Raw genomic sequence first — 19,285 nt, forward strand, 5'->3', positions numbered from 1 at the left:
TGACCTTGTGATCCACCCGCCTTGGCCTCCCAGAGTGCTGGGATTACAGGCATGAGCCACTGTGCCCAGCCCATTTTAATGTGTAGTATTAATTCCTTTAAGTTTATGAAAATGGAACCTTTCTGGGCTTAAATTTAATCAGCTTTTATTTTCTTTGTCTACCTCTTAGATCAGGTGTCAAAGAGCAAAATCAAAAATGGGCATCTCATGGGAGGGAGGGGAGAGAGTAGATAGTCCCCCTTGTTGTTTTAGAATTTTCCTTCTATAGGTCAGAGAGAAGTGATGTGATTTCTTAGAACCTGAAAGAAATGTGTTCTCTCCCCTAACATCTTTTTTTAAAAAAGTGCTTACCCATAAAATATTTGGTTAATCAGATTTCTCTGCTCCTTGGCTACTTTGACTTTATGCTTTTCGTCTTTCTTTTTATAGGGTTGCTTTGTTTTTAAGCCAAACTCCAAAAAGAGAAAGATCTCTCTGCCAATAGGTAAGGTGTCTGAATATTAAATTTTTTATTCCCTACCTTCTTAAACTATTAGGAACTAACCCTAATTGAATTTAGTAATTCTCTTGTCTAACCTTGGCTTACTTGCCATGTTGATGTAGCATTTATGTTCCAAGGCATTGGTCAAAGAGATAAGAGGACACCCCAGGGCTCTAATTGAAAAGAGAATCCAATTACACCTTCCAAAGGTAAGTTGGAAGCAAATTTCCTTCAAAGGATATGCTGCTATTCTTTAAAAGAGATTGTCTTTTTGATTACTTCTCTGCCATTGTTTTTTTATCTACAACTTTAGAAATGAAAGTGAGTTTCTGCTAGAGAAACATTTTGATCCTTGATGAAGTAATCAAAACAATAAAGGCTGACTGGCAACCCAGATTTCTAATGATGGGGGAAATGTTATTTAGAAAATAAAATGATAATTGGTAACATAAGGAAAACCTAAGAAAGAATGATTATAAATTTGTATATATTTTCTAATGAAAATTGTATAAAAATTATTTTTGAGTTAAAATACAATATTCATGGGGAGACTTAAATATGCTTAAAAATTTTGATGTGATATTCCATTTTATGAATAAACTTGGCAAAATAAATTAAAGCAATCATCTATCTGTATGGAGCATTTTAGAACTTAGGGCTTAGTAACTACATGTGTGTTAGAATACTGCATGTTCTAACTTAGGGATAAATGCTGTGCACATCAATACATGCTGAGAAAAAAGCCCAAGGTCTTGGATCTCTTACAGTAATTCTACCTGCTAGAGCACAAAGTTATGGAATCACCTGGACTATAAGTAAAGGAATTGGAGTGTGATCCTGAGCCTGACCAGCTCTATGGCTTTGGCCCTGCTGTTTAACCTTTCCCTAAGTCTCTTCATCTGTAAAATGAGCAACTATACTCACTTATCACTAAGATTTCTCCCTATTCTCATTCTATCTCTCTAAGAGCTAACATGTAGTGCTTTGTAAGACTATCATAAATACCATGTGAATAAATTTGTGTTATTATGGATTGTTACCACCTTGGCCTTATAGTTTGTGTTCCAAGACTCCTATCTCTCACTAGCCTGAGGGAAGGGAAAAAGCTGAGAATGAGTAGCAGAAGACTTTCTACTCTCACAATGGCTACATATTTCCAAGTGGCCCAGATTTCCTCTCTTAGTCTTCACATCCTTTCTACCAGTTTGCACCCTCCATCATCTCTCGGAAGCACCAGGGTCCCACACAGTTCTCAATCACTCTTCATTTCATAAAACAAATTTGTTAAATTATTGAGTTTTAATCACTCATAGACACACATACTCATGATATTAAGGGAGTGGATTTTTATCACTCACTCAGACATACGCATACTCACACACTCATATACCCATGTGTGTAAGAGAGGAAAGACATTTCTTTTGGTTTTGTTTGTTGATTTATTTTAGAGACAGGGTCTCAGTCTGTCACCCAGGCTTCAGTTCGGCGGCCTGATCATAGCTCACTTCAGCCTTGAAAACTCCTGGGCTTAAATGATCCTCCCACCTCAGCCTCCCAAGTACCTGGGACTACAGGCATGCGCTACGACGCCTGGCTAATTATTTTTTAAAATTTTTTGTAGAGACAGGGTCTCACTTTGTTGCCCAGGTTGGTCCTGAATTCCAGGGCTCAAGTGATCCTCCCACCTCAGACCTCAAAGTGCTGGGATTACAGGTGTGAGCCACTGTGCCCAGCCTAATTTGTTTGTTTGTTTTTGTTTTTTTTTTTTGAGACGGAGTCTAGCTCTCAGCATGATCTCAGCTCACTGCAACCTCCGCCTCCCAGGTTCAAGCGATTCTCCTGCCTCAGTCTCCCGAGTAGCTGGGACTACAGGCATGCGCCACAATGCCTGGCTAATTTTTGTATTTTTTAGTAGAGATCGGGTTTCACTATGTTGGCCAGGCTGATCTCGAACTCCCGGCCTTGTGATCTGCCCACCTCAGCCTTCCAAAGTGCTAGGATTACAGGTGTGAGTCACTGTGCTCGGCTGTTTGTTTTTTTGTTGTTTTTTTTTTTTTAAGGCAAAAACAACACAGGTTGTGTTAAAGTCCCAGTGGTTTCCTGGGATGAAGTAGGGGGAATTAACTGCAAAAAGGCAAGAGGGAACTTTCTGGAGTGATGGAAATGTTCTCTGTTGACAGAGTGGTTATGTAAGTATATACCTGGGTCAAACTGTTAAAATGGTTGTGTTTAATTATTTGTAAATTATACCTCAATAAAATTCAATTAATAAAAAAAGATACTGTCTTCACTTTTTTCATTTATATCCTGATACCTGTTTAGTGATCAAATTAAGAAGACTTGACTTCTTCAATCAAATCCAGTATTACTATCAGAATGTATTTATTGCACCGGTTCTCAATCATAGCTTCACATTAGAATCATTTGGGGAACTTTGAAAAGTCTTATTTTAATATAATTGTAGATGCACATATAATTACAGGTAATACTCTTCCACCAGTAAGTACCCTACGACCAGTTATCCCCAGTGGCAGTATCTTACATAACTATAGTACAGTGTCACAATTAAGAAACTGATATTAATACAATCTAGTGACCTTATTCAATTCCAACTTGTGGGACTTTGAAAAAATGCAGGGTGAGAGTTCCTTATCCCAAATCTTGGGACCAGAAGTGTTTTGGTTATTGGAATTTTTTCAGATTTTGAAATATATACCTGTATATAATGAGATAATCTTGGGAATGAGACCCAAGTCTAAAAATAAAATTCATTCATGTTTCATATACACCTTAACCACATAGCCTGAAACGAATTTTACATAATATTTTAAATAATATTGTGCATGAAACAAAGTTTTGGCTGTGTTTTGACTGCGACCTGTCACTTGAGGTGAGATATGGAATTTTCCACTTGTGGCATCATGTTGGTACTCAAAAAGTTTCAGATTCTGGAGGATTTCAGATTTTTGGATTAGAGATGCTCAACCTGTGCCAATGCTAAGACCCTAACCCGGATCAATTGAATTAGAATCTCAAGAGTGGGGCCTAAGTGTTAGAATTTTTCAAAAGCTCCCCACAGGGTTATTGAGTATATACATTCCATATTCAGCACTGTGAAAATTAATTCCAGTGGAAAAATTATGATATGGAATTAAGCATACCCATGTACTAGTTTTGAATTGAAAAAATGAACTATGCCACTGTTTGACTAAGGAAATAAATGGATAACTTGAATATATAGAATAGGATTTTTTTTAAGTAATGATATATATATATACACACACACACACACACACACACACACACATATATATATAATTTTTTTTTAAAATAGAGATGGGATCTTACTATGTTGCCCAGGCTGGTCCTGAACTCCTGAGTTCAAGTGATCCTCCCACCTTGGCCTCCCAAAGTGCTGGGATTACAGGCGTGAGTCACCATGCCTGGCCACACATTTCTTTAATGTTGCAGATTGCTCAACTTACTAGAAATAGGTCAGAGAAAATTAAAGACTTGTTCCCCCATTATCATTAGGGACACATAGCATGCAGTGACATCTAATATCATCACCAATGTAATTATAACTAATACAGTTGTTAATATTTCTTGGATGTTTACAGTGTGCCAGACTGTTTTGTTTTTCAAGACAAGATCTCACTCTGTCACCCAGGCTGGAGTGCAGTGGCACAATCATAGTCCACTGCAAACTTGAGCTCCTGGGCTCCGGGAATCCTCCTGCCTTAGCCTCAGCTAGGACTACAGGCTCATGTCACCTTGCTTGCTAATTTATTTATTTTTTTTTTAAGGTGAGATCTCACTTTGTTGTCCAGGCTGGTCTCAAATCCTGAGCTCAAGCAGTCCACCTGCCTTGGCCTCCCAAAGCGCTGGGATTATAGACCCAGACTGTTTCAATCATTTTATATGTGTTAATTTGATTAATCCCCTCAGCAAACTACAAGGAATGTATTATCGCCATTGAAATATATAAGGATACTTAGACATATAACTTTCTCAATGTTATAATGTTAGTAAATGATAGAGCTAGGATTTGAACCCAACCTGTCTGATTCCAGAGCTCATGATTTAACCATAGCTTAATACTGCCTCTCATTATATAAGGCCAAGTTTCTATTTAGAACTTTTTGTATTGAATTTAAGCTACAACTTATTAGGATTGGTTTATAGTTTTTAGTACTAGTAAACCTGATGTGTATAATTGTATGATTTGAATTTTGCTTTAGAAGTTTGCTAGGCTTTTTTTTTTTTTTCATTATGTGGCTCTAAGACCAACGGGTAGTGTTATAATACGAAAATCTTTGAGGAATTGACCCTGATTATAAGGCAGATGGAGCAGGAATGAGGGAAACATACCCAGACTTTAACATTTGCCTTCACTGGCTTCAGTTGTTGAAACAGATTGACTGAAGAAGTAGGAAGATGCTCTGCATTTTGCCCACCATCTGTCCCCTGACTGAAGACACTTGGGCACGTAATTAAGACTGGTAACTCTCCCTCTCCTCAGTATTCTGTGGATGACTGCATATCCAGCAAAACAACTGGATAGGAACTGGAGAGAGAGAGACTGGCAGCAGCACTGGCACTGTAGGAGATACCCACACTGAAGTATAGCACTGTGAATAGGAGCCGAGGCAGGTAGAAACCTGGCAACAGTGAGAGCTTATATTCTTCAGTGTAGTTTTTAAATTTACCTACCTGATCTGTAACAGACTGAGAGAAGTCATGGTAACAGTTTAAAGTATCCTACTGCTGTGTTTCCCAGTTTCTAAGAGGTTTTTCATGTGTATTTTGATGCGGCATTATTCTGCACATAAAAATTGTGTCTTGATTTGCCACTTTCATGTTATGCTATGATTTTACCTATTAATGTAAAGTGACTATTTTTGTTCTTTTTAAAGCTACCTTGTTGTTCTGCTTTGTCTCTTTTTTTTATTATTTATTTATTTATTTATTTATTTATTTTGAGGCAAGGTTTTGCTCTGTCGCCCAGGCTGGAGTGTAGTGGCACAATTTCAGCTCACTGCAACCTCTGCCTCCCAGGTTCAGGTGATTCTCCTGCCTCAGCCTCCTGAGTACCTGGGACTACAGGTGTATGCCACCACGCCCGGCTAATTTTTGTATTTTTAGCAGAGATGGGGTTTCACCATGTTGGCCAGGGTGGTCTCCAAGTCCTGAGCTAATGAACCGCCCACCTTGGCCTCCCAAAGCGCTGGGATTACAGGCATGTGCCACCACGCTGGCCTGCTTTGTCTCTTAATAATAGTGTCCTCTGGCTAGGTGGGGTGATGTACGCCTGTAATACCAGCACTTTGGGAGGCCAAGGTGGGCAGATCACTTGAGGTCAGGTGTTCAAGACCAGCCTGGCCAATGTGGTGAAACCCCGTCTCTGCTAAAAATATAATTAGCCAGATGTGGTCGCGGGCGCCTGTAGTCCCAGCTACTCGGGAGGCTGAGGCAGGAGAATCACTTGGACCTGGGAGGCGGAGGTTGCAGTAAGCTGAGATCTCACCACTTCACTCCAGCCTGGGCAACAGAGCGAGACCCTGTCTCAAATAATAGTAATAGTAATAATAGTGTCTCCTTGCTTTCTTTTTTTGTTGGCATTTTAATTCTATAACCTTGTCTGCCACTTTACCGTACGATGACTTCAATGTATTCCAAGGCTTTTGATAAAATTAAAAATCAATAGTTGCTAAAAACTCTGAGTTAACTATGATTAGGAGAGAAGTTCCTTAACATGAAGTGAATTTATATTCCAAACTATCAGTTAACATTAAAACTTGGTGGTAGATTATTAGCAGCAGAAATTTAACGTGAACACTCCAGTTGTTACAATAAAATACGTAGCAGTAAACAACAAGAAATATGAGGGAAAGTAGAAAACTATAAGGAATCTAAAATATTTGATTAAAAAAAGAGACCTGTGATATTGGGGTTGGGGATTTTTTAACATATTAAAGATGGGATTTTTCCCCAAATCAGTCTATGGATTTGATTTTATCTAGTCAAATACCAGTACAACTAGTTTTGAGAAGTGACAGGATTACTGTAAAATTAATTTGAAGAAGTGGCTTAAATTTTTTTGAAAGAGAATAACAATGTTTGGGGGCAGTGGGAGGAAGACCTAAATGTATTTGATAAAATGTACAACATACAAAGCCATAATAATTAAAACAGTTCAAGACTGGTAGGAGAATAGGGTTGGATTCAGTAGAACAAAATAAAAAGTTCAAACATAGTTCAAAGTATATATAAGTATTTAGACTATAAGGGCATGTCAAATCAGCGGGAGAAGGATGGATTGTACAATAAAGGAGGGTTTTTCAAACCAAATGTCATAATTTATGTGTGAGTTATGAAATCAATTTAGTGGACTATGAGTATAAAACAGGAAAGAAAACATTTGCTATTACATAATAAGGGTGAGTGTTGTTTTTTGTGACTTTAGTTTTTGTTCATGTGTATATGTGTTAGGTTATGATATAAAGTGTATTCCTTAATGTGGATTATAGTTTGAAAAGTTTGAAAGCCAGTGCAATAAATGGTATTTTCACAAATAGCTAACCATTTGGAGAAAGCATTCAAAAAGGATACAAAAATATACAGACAGAATAAATGAAAGACTGGACTAAACTATGTCAGTGGAAAAATGTAAGAATAGTAGTAGTAAGTCATTCAATAGAGGAGAGTTCAAAGCAAATGTATGAAACAAAGTATACAAGGTTGTAGAATAACAGCAAATAATGAAAACATTATTAAATGTATATAACTCAAAAAAGCCACTTAATAAAAACTGTTAGAAATTAAAAAGCAAATGATAGAAATACAGTAGAAAGATTGACATTTTTAATCTTAAATATGCCATAAATATGGTAAAAATAAAAGATTATAAAAAATGAAATACAGAGGATATTGAATGTTACCTGTCCCCAAATATATGTTTTTGATGAATGTAAAAAAAATTAAGGCCAGGCAAGGTGGCTCACACTTGTAATCCCAGTACTTTGGGAGGCCAAGGTGGGCAGATCACTTGAGGTCAGGAGTTTGAGACCAGCCTGGCCAACATGGTGAAACCCCATCTCTACTAAAAATACAAAATTGAGCGGGCGTGGTGGCACGTGCCTGTAGTCACAGCCACTCGGGAGGCTGAGGCAGGAGAGAATCACTTGAACCTGGGAGGCGGAGATCGCACTGAGCCAACATCATGCCACTGCACTCCAGCCTGGGTGACAGAGTGAGACTCCATATCAAAAAAAAAAAAAATTTCACTTCTGTCACTTACTGTGTAACTTTGCACGTAAGATCTATAACTTATACTATTATATGAAAAAAGAAACTGACTTATTTCTTTCTGTTTTTAGAGGACTATTTTAACAAAGGGAAAAATGAGCCTGAGGACAGTAAGCTTCGATTCGAAACTTATCAGTTGATATGGCAGCAGATGAAATCTGAAAATGAGGTGAATACTTTTTTTAATAATTTTCTGTAACACCCTAAGTCTCATTTTTGTTGCATCTCATCTTCCTTTCCACCAGTTTACAAGAGTATTGATGAAATATAGGAAGTATTGGTCAAGCATAGCCTGTATATCCTTAAAAAAACAACCATAATCCAGCCTGGGCAACTTGGTGAAACCCTGTCTCTACAAAAGCTACAAAAACTAGCTGGGCATGGTGGTGTGCACTTGTAATTCCAGCTACTCAGGAGGCTAAGTTGGGAGGATAACTTGAGCCTGGGAGGTGGAGGTTGCAGTGAGCCGAGATAGTACCACGGCACTCCAGCCTGGGCAGCAGAGAGAGATCTTGTCTCAAAAACAAAAACAAAAAAAACTCATATTTCTTGTGAGTGGAACAGATGTTTATGATAGCTGTTAAGGCAAGGAGCTTTCAAATGGTGACGCTCTTAAATTATCCTTTCAGGTATACAACTGTGAAATCAAGCTGTTTCTAAACTCCTTCACTTTCTCATCTTTATATTCCAGCTCTGAAACATTTCTTCACTATAGCAAATTGGTAGCTCTAGGGCCAGCATTTTAGGCTGACAACTTTTTTTTTTTTTTTGGCCAACACAGTGTTGTAGTTTTTGGTTTAATTGCCTTTCGGAAGGTTATATACTTTCCAGTTTATTACTGCCGCCTACCAGTCCTTACTGATTTACACCTAGTGGTAATGAGCAAAGGCTCATTCACGTATTCCATGTGATCCTTCAAGGTATTTGAATTTGTGGTTTCCAGTTTAGGCCGTCTTCATTTCTGAATCTGGATTGTTATATCCTCCTGACTGGCATCCCTGACACCATTGGCCAAATTAGAAAAGACCCTTTTCAAGGCAAATGCAGCCCAATTCCAGGCAACCCCTCCAGCCCTGTTGCCAGATTAACCCTTCTTAACCCTGATCCAATTATGTCTTTACTTCACATCCCTTCAGTGGTGCTCCCCATAGGACAAAATCCAAACCCTTTAATGTCATATATCATATATATATTATATATTATATATATATATACACGTTTATATATATATACACATATATAATATATATATATATATACATATATATATACAATTTTTTTTTTTGAGACAAGGTCTTGCTCTGTCACCCAGGCTGGCGTGTAGTGGCATGATCATAGCTTACTGCAGCCTTGACCTCCCAGACTCAAGTGACCCTCTCACCTCAGCTTCCCTAGAAGCTGGGACCACAGATGTGCACCACTACACCCAGCTAATTTGTCTTTTATCTAAAAAGATGAGGTCTCACTATGCCGACCAGGCTTGAGAGGGAATTTTTAATGGGGGAACCCAGAGCACTAATTACTAGAGATTTAAGGAAAAAACATTTTTTAATTAGGTTCATCTTTTGATCATTTTACATCATTGAATCCATGACAATTTTCTTTCCACAACCAGGAAAGACATCAGATTATTATTTCTAATAATAATAAGTTTTTGTGTGTTCTTTGTAGCGACTACAAGAGGAATTAAATAAAAACTTGTTTGACAATCTGATTGAATTTCTGCAAAAATCACATTCTGGATTCCAGAAGAATTCAAGAGACTTGGGCGGTCAAATAAAACTCAGAGAAATTCCAACTGCTGCTCTTGTTCTTGGTATATATGCGTATGTTTGTTCATGCATGCATCTCTGTGTATTTCGTTTTTAAATTTTTTTTTATTGTTGAGAATAGTGGAAGGACCTGTTTTGATGAGCCTATTTTGTCTCTCTTATTTGTACAATTAAACCAACTATAGTTTATATTACATATTTTCAAAAACCAATAAAAATTCCTTATCTTTACAGACGATCATATGTTTGTAAATTAAAAGGAATTTATCTAGCTAATGTTCTCCCCAACTTTTGGTCGGAAGGGAAAATATATTTGTTTTACTCTTTCTTTGTAGATACATTACAAGAGTATATGAGATTTGGTAATAAAGAAACTACCAGTGTTAGTAGATTTGGTTTTCATACTTTTTTTAGTCGTATCTTCAATGGAATTACTCTATGACCTTAATTTTATTTTCCTGTGCATAGTTTTTCCATCTTAGATTGTTTCATTATATTCATATTAATTACCTACAAGGAGGTGTTTGGATGAATTGCACATAAATTGCTTTCAAATTGCAGGTTGTAAATTTCTTAAGTACTTAAACATCCATCATTAATATCTCATCTTTACCAAACATTTGGATTCCAGCACAATGGAAAAAATTTCTTTGGAATATTAGCAAATTTTCTTCATTCCCTTTGAAAACAAAGTTGAATTTATTTGGGTTCCAAACATGCTCTTAATTTCTCTTTCAATTTATTCAAGATTTGTTATGCTAGTTAGCTCTGAGATAAGGAATTAATTCTCAACCTCAATGCACCCACAGATAACCTCCAGGGATCGTATTAAAATGTAGATTTTGGTTAATGGGTCTAGGGTGGGGCCTGAAATTTTACATTTCTAACAGGGTACCAGCTGATGCCCATAGTCCCAGGACCACACTAATAAGACTCAAGGGAATGATTTTTATTATGCTGTGGACCAGCTTTACAATGCAACATCTAAAAATTCTCCCATTTGAGGAAAAACTGAGGCCCAGTGATGGCCCACTTGTACCAAGCTAATGGAAAGAATGTTTTAAAATCATGGTCTGAGGAGAACATTTTTCTAGTTAAACACATTGTTGATTATCTTGTTTGTGATAGACAAGTTCATTGTTTTATAATACAAATATAACGAATATAATGTTATTAATAAATAGCTTATAGCCAGTCAGTGAAAGCCAAGATAACCCAGTGTTTTACTGAACTTCTAAATTTGTTCAGGGATGTGTTATTATAATCATAGACCATAATGCATGCTAGGAATCATTTTGATATTTTCTATTTTCAATATCCATTTAAAAAATAGTCTGCTAATATTTTTATTCTTTGGCTCTCCTAGAAAAAAAAAATGGTTTATTATTGCTGGCATGGATGATTCTGAAATTTTTCTTTTTCTTCCAAGCAATGAAAGTTTTGCAGCTGTAACTCTTAAGCAGTTTGAAAGTGGCTGCTGCTGTTATCTGCCTAAGCACCAAATGACTTTCTAGAAATCACAGATGGTTATGTTAGGGAAGATACCAGTTAACAGAATTTTTTTCCAAAGTAGTGGGAAATTTTTCACTCAAAAATTTGATAACTGTATGCGGTGCCCTGAAACTCTGATTTGCAGAAATGAAAACCAGGGATTCCGTAAATACCAAAAGAACCCATAGTTTTACTTTTTTAAAATTTTTATAGAGACAGGTTCTCACCATGTTTGCCAGGCTGTTCTTGAACTCCTGGCTTCAAGTGATCCTCCCAAAGTGCTGGGATTATGGGCATGAGCTATACTGCACCTGGCCAGTTTTAATTTCCTTAAAGAGCTTGTTAGGAATTTGACAAAGCAATGAAATTACTTCTAAGATGTTTTCAAGGGTCGGCTGGGCACAGTGGCTCACGCCTGTAATCCCAGCACGTTGGGAGGCTGAGGCGGGTGGATCACTTGAGGTCGGGAGTTTGAGACCAGCCTGGCCAACGTGGTGAAACCCTGTCTCTATTAAAACTACAAAAATTAGCCGGTGTGGTGGCACATGCCTGTAATTCCAGCTACTCAGGAGGCTGAGGCAGGAGAATCACCTGAACTTGGGAGGTGAAGGATGCAGTGAGCTGAGATTGAGCTGCTGCACTCCAGCCTGGATGACAGAGCGAGATTCTGTCTCAAAAAAAAAAAAAAGAAGCTTTCAAGTGCACATCCCAGTAATTTGTTTGAAAGAGGAATTGTGCAAAATATCTTTCCTGACAAATATAGTTTATGCCTTTGGATAGCTATTGTTAATGGATATCATTTATATAGTATATTTCCTTGGTTTCTGTTATTAATCATTTTTTAAATGTTTTTACTTGTTTGCTTGATATGTTAAATAGCTTTTGTCATTAAATTATTATTAATAAAAATGGTGATGTAATATTGATGTATTATCTCATAGGTGTGAATGTCACAGATCATGATTTGACATTCGGAAGTCTAACAGAGGCCCTTCAGAATAATGTCACACCATATGTAGTCTCATTGCAAGCTAAAGATTGTCCAGGTAAAAATATAAATGCCATAATAACCTTGATGAGATGTTACAGACTTCTTTCATCCTTTTCTCTCTTTTTCAGGCTTTCTTTATCCCTTTTTTTGGTGGAAAGAACACAGTGCTATGTTTTAGGCAGGGTGAGGTTTGGGGGCTCTCAGAGTAATTGTGACTATTACAGAACTCTGCCTTCTTTTGCTGTCTTTGTTCTTGACCCATTTCTGCCCTATCAGCTTAACTGCCGGTAGCAGTCCAGGCATTTTGTGAGATGCATTCTTTAACCCAGTGAAACGTTTAATAAGTAGAAAGACTTAGGACAGAAAGCTGAGAATTGGGGAATGAGGAGCTCTTGTCAGCTCAAAAGAGAGTAGACCACATGGGCTCATGTTTCAGCCATAAATCATCTTATTGTCCCACTTTGAAAAGCCACCATGGTGAAAAATAGTCCACTGACAGAGGTAATCCTGAGCATGTGAACCCATGAAATCATAAAGAGTGTTCACACTAATATATTAAAAAGCTTTTTTTTTTTTTCTTTTGAGACAGGGTCTCACTCTGTTGCCTAGGCTGTACTACAGTAGCATGATCATAGCTCAGTGCAGCTTGAACTCCTGGCCTCAAGCAGTTCTCCCACTTCAGCTTCCCCAGTACCTAGGACTACAGGTGCATGCCATTACGCTCAGCTACATCAGCTACATTGTGGGGTTTTGTTGTTGTTGTTGTTTGTAGAGATTGGGTCTTGCTGTGTTGTCCAGACTGGTCTTGAACTCCTGGGCTCAAACAATCCTCCTGCCTTGGCTTCCCAAAGTGCTGGGATTACATCTTGAGTCACCATGCCTGGCCCTAATGTGGTAAAATTTGTTTGGATTAGATTGATAAAAGAGATTTATGTGCTTATATTGCTTTCATATTCATAAACTGATTGAAATTAAGTAAAAGCCCTTAAAGGCATCTTTAAAAATGGCTATATGAAAGATTTATAATCAGTAAAATAATTCATATGACACTTGATTTTTCTTAGGGAACTTGAAAACTGTTTATTTTCCTATGTAATTTAAATACATATTCCTAAAATTTATAGTTTGCATATCTACACATTTGCTTCTGTGACCTTTTTATTATAGATAATATACATAAATGGCTGGGAGCAGTGTTTGATGCTTGTAATCCCAGCACTTTGGGAGGCTGAGGCAGGCAGATCATGAGGTGAGGAGTTCGAGACCAGCCTGGCCAACATGGCAAAACCCCGTCTCTACTAAAAAATACAAAAATTAGCTGGGTATGGTGGCACGCGCCTGTAATCCCAGCTACTGGGGAGGCTTGAGGCAGGAGAATTGCTTGAACCCGGGAGGCAGAGGTTGTATTGAGCCGAGATCCTGCCACTGTACTCCAGCCTGGGCAACAGAGCGAGACTCCATCTCAAAAAAAAAAAATAAAGATAATATACATAAGCTTTGGTTTAGTCTTAGTCTGAATTAATGAAGGTACTAATGAGCATCAGTAGTTAATATGTTAAATGTTACATTAGCTGTATTGATGGTAAGTATAAAAAAACACATTCTACCAAAAAAAAAAGTAATACACTCAGCAAGAAGTTTCAAGAGCTTTGGTTTTATTTTTAGAAGAGGCAGAGATAAGCTTTCTTACTTTTTATATTCCACAGATATGAAACATTTTTTGCAAAAGTTGATCTCACAGTTGATGGACTGCTGTGTAGATATAAAATCCAAAGAGGAGGAAAGTGTTCACGTCACCCAAAGAAAGACACATTATTCAATGGATTCACTTTCCAGTTGGTATATGACTGTCACACAGGTAGATATAAACTGATGATTTTCTCCCAGGAAATTGACGTATGATTGATGTGGCTTGGAATAATATTAGACAGTACTGTTTTGATCTAACAAGGATATGTTTCTGCAGCACTAGGTGTTAATTTAAAAGTAGGTATTTATTTTTTCTAATGCTACTCGAATTTTAAAATGTTCTTTTATTAGTATGCAGCCTAATTCCAGGTAAGTGCTTAGGTTTTTACAAGGACATATTATTTGTTGGAGAATGTCCTCTAATGACAAAAACAGAGCATCAGGAATTGCTTCTGTTGCATGTTCCATCTCTGTGACAGTAACTATAACTTTAGTATATTATCTCTTATGTTCCTCAATGTTTGCTTTGTCCAATAGAACCATGCTGCTAGTATCCACTGTCAACTTAGTTCAATGAAGAATAATCATGTATTTTCTAAAGTCTAATTTGTTTTATGTTTAGAGTTCTTAGGGAATCAGTGTTCTTTAAGTAAAGTATGTTAGACAAACAGATAAGTAAAAAGAAGTTCCATTCTACCATGACAGTCTGGTGAAAAATAATAACCTAGGTTAACACTAGGTAATTGCGTCATAAAACCATAGTCTTAGGTTATGGTGCTGTGTAGCCAGACAGTATGGGAAAAAAAATACTGTGGTTACATTTTCCAATCAACATTTTTGCTGAAATCATCGTAAGTGAAGTTTCATTTTGCTTTATATAGGGACTAAACTACGTCTAATACTTACCATAATACCTGATTTGCTCCACAATTTTAGACTTTCCAGATAAAATGCTACTTTTGGTTTATGTCAGATATCTTTTTAAAAATTGAGATTGGACCAGATGATACCTAGTATCCATTTCAGGCTTGAAATTTCACAGTGGCAGAGTAGCAAGCACTACTATTCATTATATTTTTTTCATTAAAAATACTAGTTCTCACTATAAAGCAAAGCAGAATATAACTTTCTACCAACAGAAAAATCAATTTTGTAGAAAATTTCCTCTTCCATGTTTTTTTCTGTCATTTCCTTAGCAGAAAATATAAATATTTCATATGAGTTATAGATTTTTACTGAACCTTTTTCTTCTTGGTTATTATTCCCATGTCAGACACAGCAAGATTCTAGTAACCTGAGTTTCTATTTATCGTGTGGTAGAAAAAAAATAAACAGTGTTATTGTGAAATTTAAAGAGAGATATGTCAACATGTGGCATTATAACATTGTTTGAGTGGTAAGGCTTACCTTTAACTCTTTCTTTCTGCAATGGCTTAAAAGAAGACGGACCCAAAAATGCTAAGCAAAAAAAGGACTACTTCTAGCCAATGGCAGTCTCCTCCTGTTGTCGTTATCTTGAAGGATATGGAAAGCTTTGCCACAAAAGTACTACAAGACTTCATAATTATCAGCAGGTAGATGGTGTATTACCTGGCTTTTATGAAAAACTCCCTTTTTAAGAAAATACTACTTTTAACTTGAAAAGTATAATCTTCATTTTAATACCAACTGGATAAAAATCAAAGTATTCAAATTCTTTATAATTGAATATTCAAAGACTTCCTATCAGATTTTCCATTTGCTTTTTGAGCCAAGAATGAGAATCAAAGGCACATTTAGCCAGTTTTAAATTGACATGGTAAGATAGTATTAAATATGGTTTTTCTCACCAAGATTGACTGTCTCTTACTCACCCATTAAATAGATAAACTACTCCAGGTTGAGTTTGTTGTTTTTGTTTTTTTCTTTTTTTTTTTTGAGATGGAGCTTTGTTCTGTTGCCCAGGCTGGAGTGCAGTGGTACGATCTCGGCTCACTGCAGCCTCCGCCTCCTGGGTTCAAGCAATTCTGCCTCAGCCTCCTGAGTAGCTGGGATTACAGGTGCCCACCACCACACCTGGCTAATTTTTGTATTTTTAGTAGAAACAGAGTTTCACCATGTTGGCCAGGCTGTTCTCGAACTCCTGACCTCAGGTGATCTGCCTGCCTCGGCCTCCCAAAGTGCTGGGATTACAGGAGTGAGCCACCATACCTGGCTAAGTTGAGATTTTTATTAGGTCTTATTTTCTGATACCCATCCATCCTTAGATGCTCTGAGTTGCATATAGTTTTACTAAGCAAAAGTGTCTTCTAAATAACATTATTTTGCATTTATATAATACTTCTAGTGAGAAACTATTTTCACGATTGCATTGCGTCTTCAAAGCAATCATGTGAGACTCAGAATTGAAATAATGAACTCTTATTTTAAAATCCAGTGACATGCATTTTCCCTGGTGTATTTTTTAGGATGGAATTTATTTTGGCCTCTTCTATATGTCAACTTGTTTTAATAGTTATAGCTACATTTGCCTAAAGCTATATATTGTGTTAAATAATTTACTAGTATACTTTATTTTTATTTTTATTTTTGGAGACAGAGTCTCGCTCTGTCCCCCAGGCTGGAGTGCAGTGGCGCCTTCTCAACTCCCTGCCACCTCCGCCTCCCGGGTTCAAGCAGTTCTCATGCCTCAGCCTCCCAAGTAGCTGGGATTACAGGTGCCCGCTGCCACGCCTAGCTAATTTTTGTATTTTTAGTAGAGACAGGGTTTCACCATATTAGCCAGGCTGGTCTCAAACTCCTGACCTCAGGTGATCTGCCTTCCTTAGTGCTCTTTGGGGCCTCCCAAAGTGCTAGGATTACAGACATGAGCCACCACACCCAGCTAATTTACTAATATACTTTATTTTTTTTTATTTTTTATTTTTTTTGAGACGGAGTCTCGCTCTGTCGCCCAGGTCGGACTGCGGACTGCAGTGGCGCAATCTCGGCTCACTGCAAGCTCCGCTTCCCGGGTTCACGCCATTCTCCTGCCTCAGCCTCCCGAGTAGCTGGGACTACAGGCGCCCGCCACCGCGCCTGGCTAATTTTTTGTATTTTTAGTAGAGACGGGGTTTCACCTTGTTAGCCAGGATGGTCTCGATCTCCTGACCTCATGATCCACCCGCCTCGGCCTCCCAAAGTGCTGGGATTACAGGCGTGAGCCACCGCGCCCGGCCTACTAATATACTTTAAATTTCTACTTTGATAGGATCTTTTTTCCTTCATTGATTCTAAGAGTTCTATATATTAGGACTTTTCTTTTTTTTTTTTTTTTTTTTGAGACAGGGTCTGGCTCTGTCACCCAGGCTAGAGCGCAGTGACATGATCTTGGCTCACTGCACCCTCCACCTCCTGGGCTTAAGCAGTCCTCCCTTCTCAGGTCCCCAAGTAGCTAGGACTATAGGCACACACCACCATGCCCGGCTAATTTTTGTATTTTTTGTAGAGATGGGGTTTTGCCGTGTTGCCCAGGCTGGTCTCAAACTCTTGGCCTCAAGAGATCTGCCCTCCTCAGTCTCCCAACGTGCTGGGATTACAGACATGAACCATCGCACCCAGCCCAGATCCTAGGACTTGCATGAACCATTGCACCCAGCCCAGATCCTAGGACTTTTCTTAATGCTGACACTGAACTGCTTAGCATGCTTGGAAAGTACATAGTACAAAATAGTGACAGAAAAGCTGTACTTTTTTTTGGAGCTTAGACTTAATGACTACCTTAGCCATCAAAAGTGAGGAAGACTATAGAAAGGGCTCAAACTTTGAATGAGATATTAAATGGAATGGTATCTAACATCTCTTCTAACACTTAAGATTGTATAATCTTCGGCCCGGGCATGGTGGCTCACGCCTGTAATCCCAGCACTTTGGGAGGCCGAAGTGGGTGGATCACATGAAGTCAGGAGTTTGAGACCAGCCTGACCAATATGGTGAAACCCCATCTCCACTAAAATTAAAAAATTAGGCATGGTGGCACGCACATGTAGTCCCAGCTACTCGGGAGGCTGAGGCAGGAGAATCGCTTGAACCCAGGAGGTGGAGGTTGCAGTGAGCCGAGATTGCACCACTGCACTCCAGTCTGGGTGACAGAGCAGGACTCCATCTGAAAAAAAAAAAAGAAAAAAGATGGTATAATCTTCAGGAAAACTTTCTGGACCTCTCTGTTCTTATTTATAAAATGAGAGGATTTATTAAGAGATTGATTTCAAAGCTAGACTGTCTGGAAAGTAATTATTTCTCTGTTTAATAGAAGAAAGTGAAAGACTTAGAAAATTTTAGTGTTTGCAATGATAATCCTTAACAGTGTCTTATAAAGTAAGCATTAAAATAAAGTTTGTCTTATGTTGAAATATGATGTATTGAAATATATTTGCTAAATAAATTTCACTTTTGTGTCTGTCTTTCAAAACTAGTCAACATCTCCATGAATTTCCACTAATACTCATTTTTGGAATAGCCACATCTCCTATTATCATCCACCGATTGCTTCCTCATGCAGTATCATCTCTATTGTGCATAGAACTGTTCCAATCTTTGTCTTGTAAGGAGCACCTGACTACGGTACTCGATAAGGTAAAAAGAATAAGTTTTACCAGTGAAATAGGATGAAAAGAAAACTGCCAATAATAGATTGTTAAGATAACTGTTAACAATAAGCCTCTACAACTCTCTGAGTACTATATTGAACATATTCCTTCACATACTTTAATATTTTTACTTAATAATTTTTGTAGTGTTTTATAGTTTTACAGTGATTTTGTATATTACCTCTTCAGGTAAAATATAAGCTTTATGAAAAGAGTGATCATATCTCTCTATGTACTTAATCTCTTTATATCTTTACTCAATAGAAAATTATAGGTTTATAATGTAAATTTTTACAGAATTTGTAGACTTTGTAGTAACAATGTATTTTGACTCTTACATTTTGATTTTTCTAATTTTTATTTTTTTGAGAAGGAGTCTAGCTCTGTCATCCAGGCTGGAGTGCAGTGACGAAATCTTGGCTCACTGCAACCTCTGCCTCCCAGGTTCAAGTGATTCTCCTGCCGCAGCATCTCAAGTAGCTGGGACTTCATGAGGTGTGCCGCCACGCCTGGCTAATTTGTATTTTTAGTAGACACAGGGTACCATATTGGCCAGGCTGGTCTGGAACTCCTGACCTCAAGTGATCTACCTGCCTTGGCCTCCCAAAGTGCTGGGATTACAGGCATGAGCCGCCACACCCAGCCTGACTCCTTACATTTTGTATAAAATGATTTGAAGTTTTTAGTGGACTGTTTCCTAACTGATTTGTCATGCTGCTCTTGACAACAAATACTAACATTTTCCTAGACCTTAGCAACTAAAGTTAATTAACTATGTTTCTACATAAATGCAAGTATGATTCTTTAATATTGACTGTATTAGTCTGTTCTCACGCTGCTGATAAAGACACACCTGAGACTGGGCAATTTACAAAAGAAAGAGGTTTAATGGACTCATAGTTCCACTTGGCTGGGGAGGCCTCACAATCATGGTGGAAGGCAAGGA

At 37.7% G+C, this 19,285-nt stretch overlaps 1 protein-coding gene across 15 annotated transcripts in view, besides 1 other annotated feature; it reads left to right on the forward strand.

Annotated features, from left to right (window-relative positions):
* The window catches only part of ORC3 (origin recognition complex subunit 3), an 87,689-nt gene that overhangs the window by 3,789 nt on the left and 64,615 nt on the right, over nucleotides 1–19,285 (forward strand). For 12 of the 15 annotated variants that reach the window (XM_017010632.3, XM_017010633.3, XM_047418550.1 and 9 more), the window contains exons 2-8: nucleotides 430–484; nucleotides 7,861–7,958; nucleotides 9,461–9,605; nucleotides 11,994–12,098; nucleotides 13,750–13,901; nucleotides 15,173–15,306; nucleotides 18,166–18,325. In XM_017010632.3, the coding sequence (XP_016866121.1) occupies nucleotides 430–484; nucleotides 7,861–7,958; nucleotides 9,461–9,605; nucleotides 11,994–12,098; nucleotides 13,750–13,901; nucleotides 15,173–15,306; nucleotides 18,166–18,325 (849 nt within the window). Of the gene's footprint in view, nucleotides 1–427; nucleotides 485–603; nucleotides 691–7,860; nucleotides 7,959–9,460; nucleotides 9,606–11,993; nucleotides 12,099–13,749; nucleotides 13,902–15,172; nucleotides 15,307–18,165; nucleotides 18,326–19,285 lie in introns of those variants that run through there. The other 3 variants (XM_047418548.1, XM_047418549.1, NM_001197259.2) reach the window with 3 other exon arrangements.
* Nucleotides 10,159–10,660: an enhancer, noted in NCBI's record as "NANOG hESC enhancer chr6:88313800-88314301 (GRCh37/hg19 assembly coordinates)". NCBI's record gives its function as "activates a minimal SCP1, AML or CMV promoter by ChIP-STARR-seq in primed H9 embryonic stem cells {active_cell/tissue: H9 hESC(primed)}" and the evidence as "EXISTENCE:reporter gene assay evidence [ECO:0000049][PMID:30033119]".

The sequence above is a fragment of the Homo sapiens genome, chromosome 6, assembly GCF_000001405.40.
Source record: "Homo sapiens chromosome 6, GRCh38.p14 Primary Assembly".
NCBI classification, from domain to species: domain Eukaryota; kingdom Metazoa; phylum Chordata; class Mammalia; order Primates; family Hominidae; genus Homo; species Homo sapiens.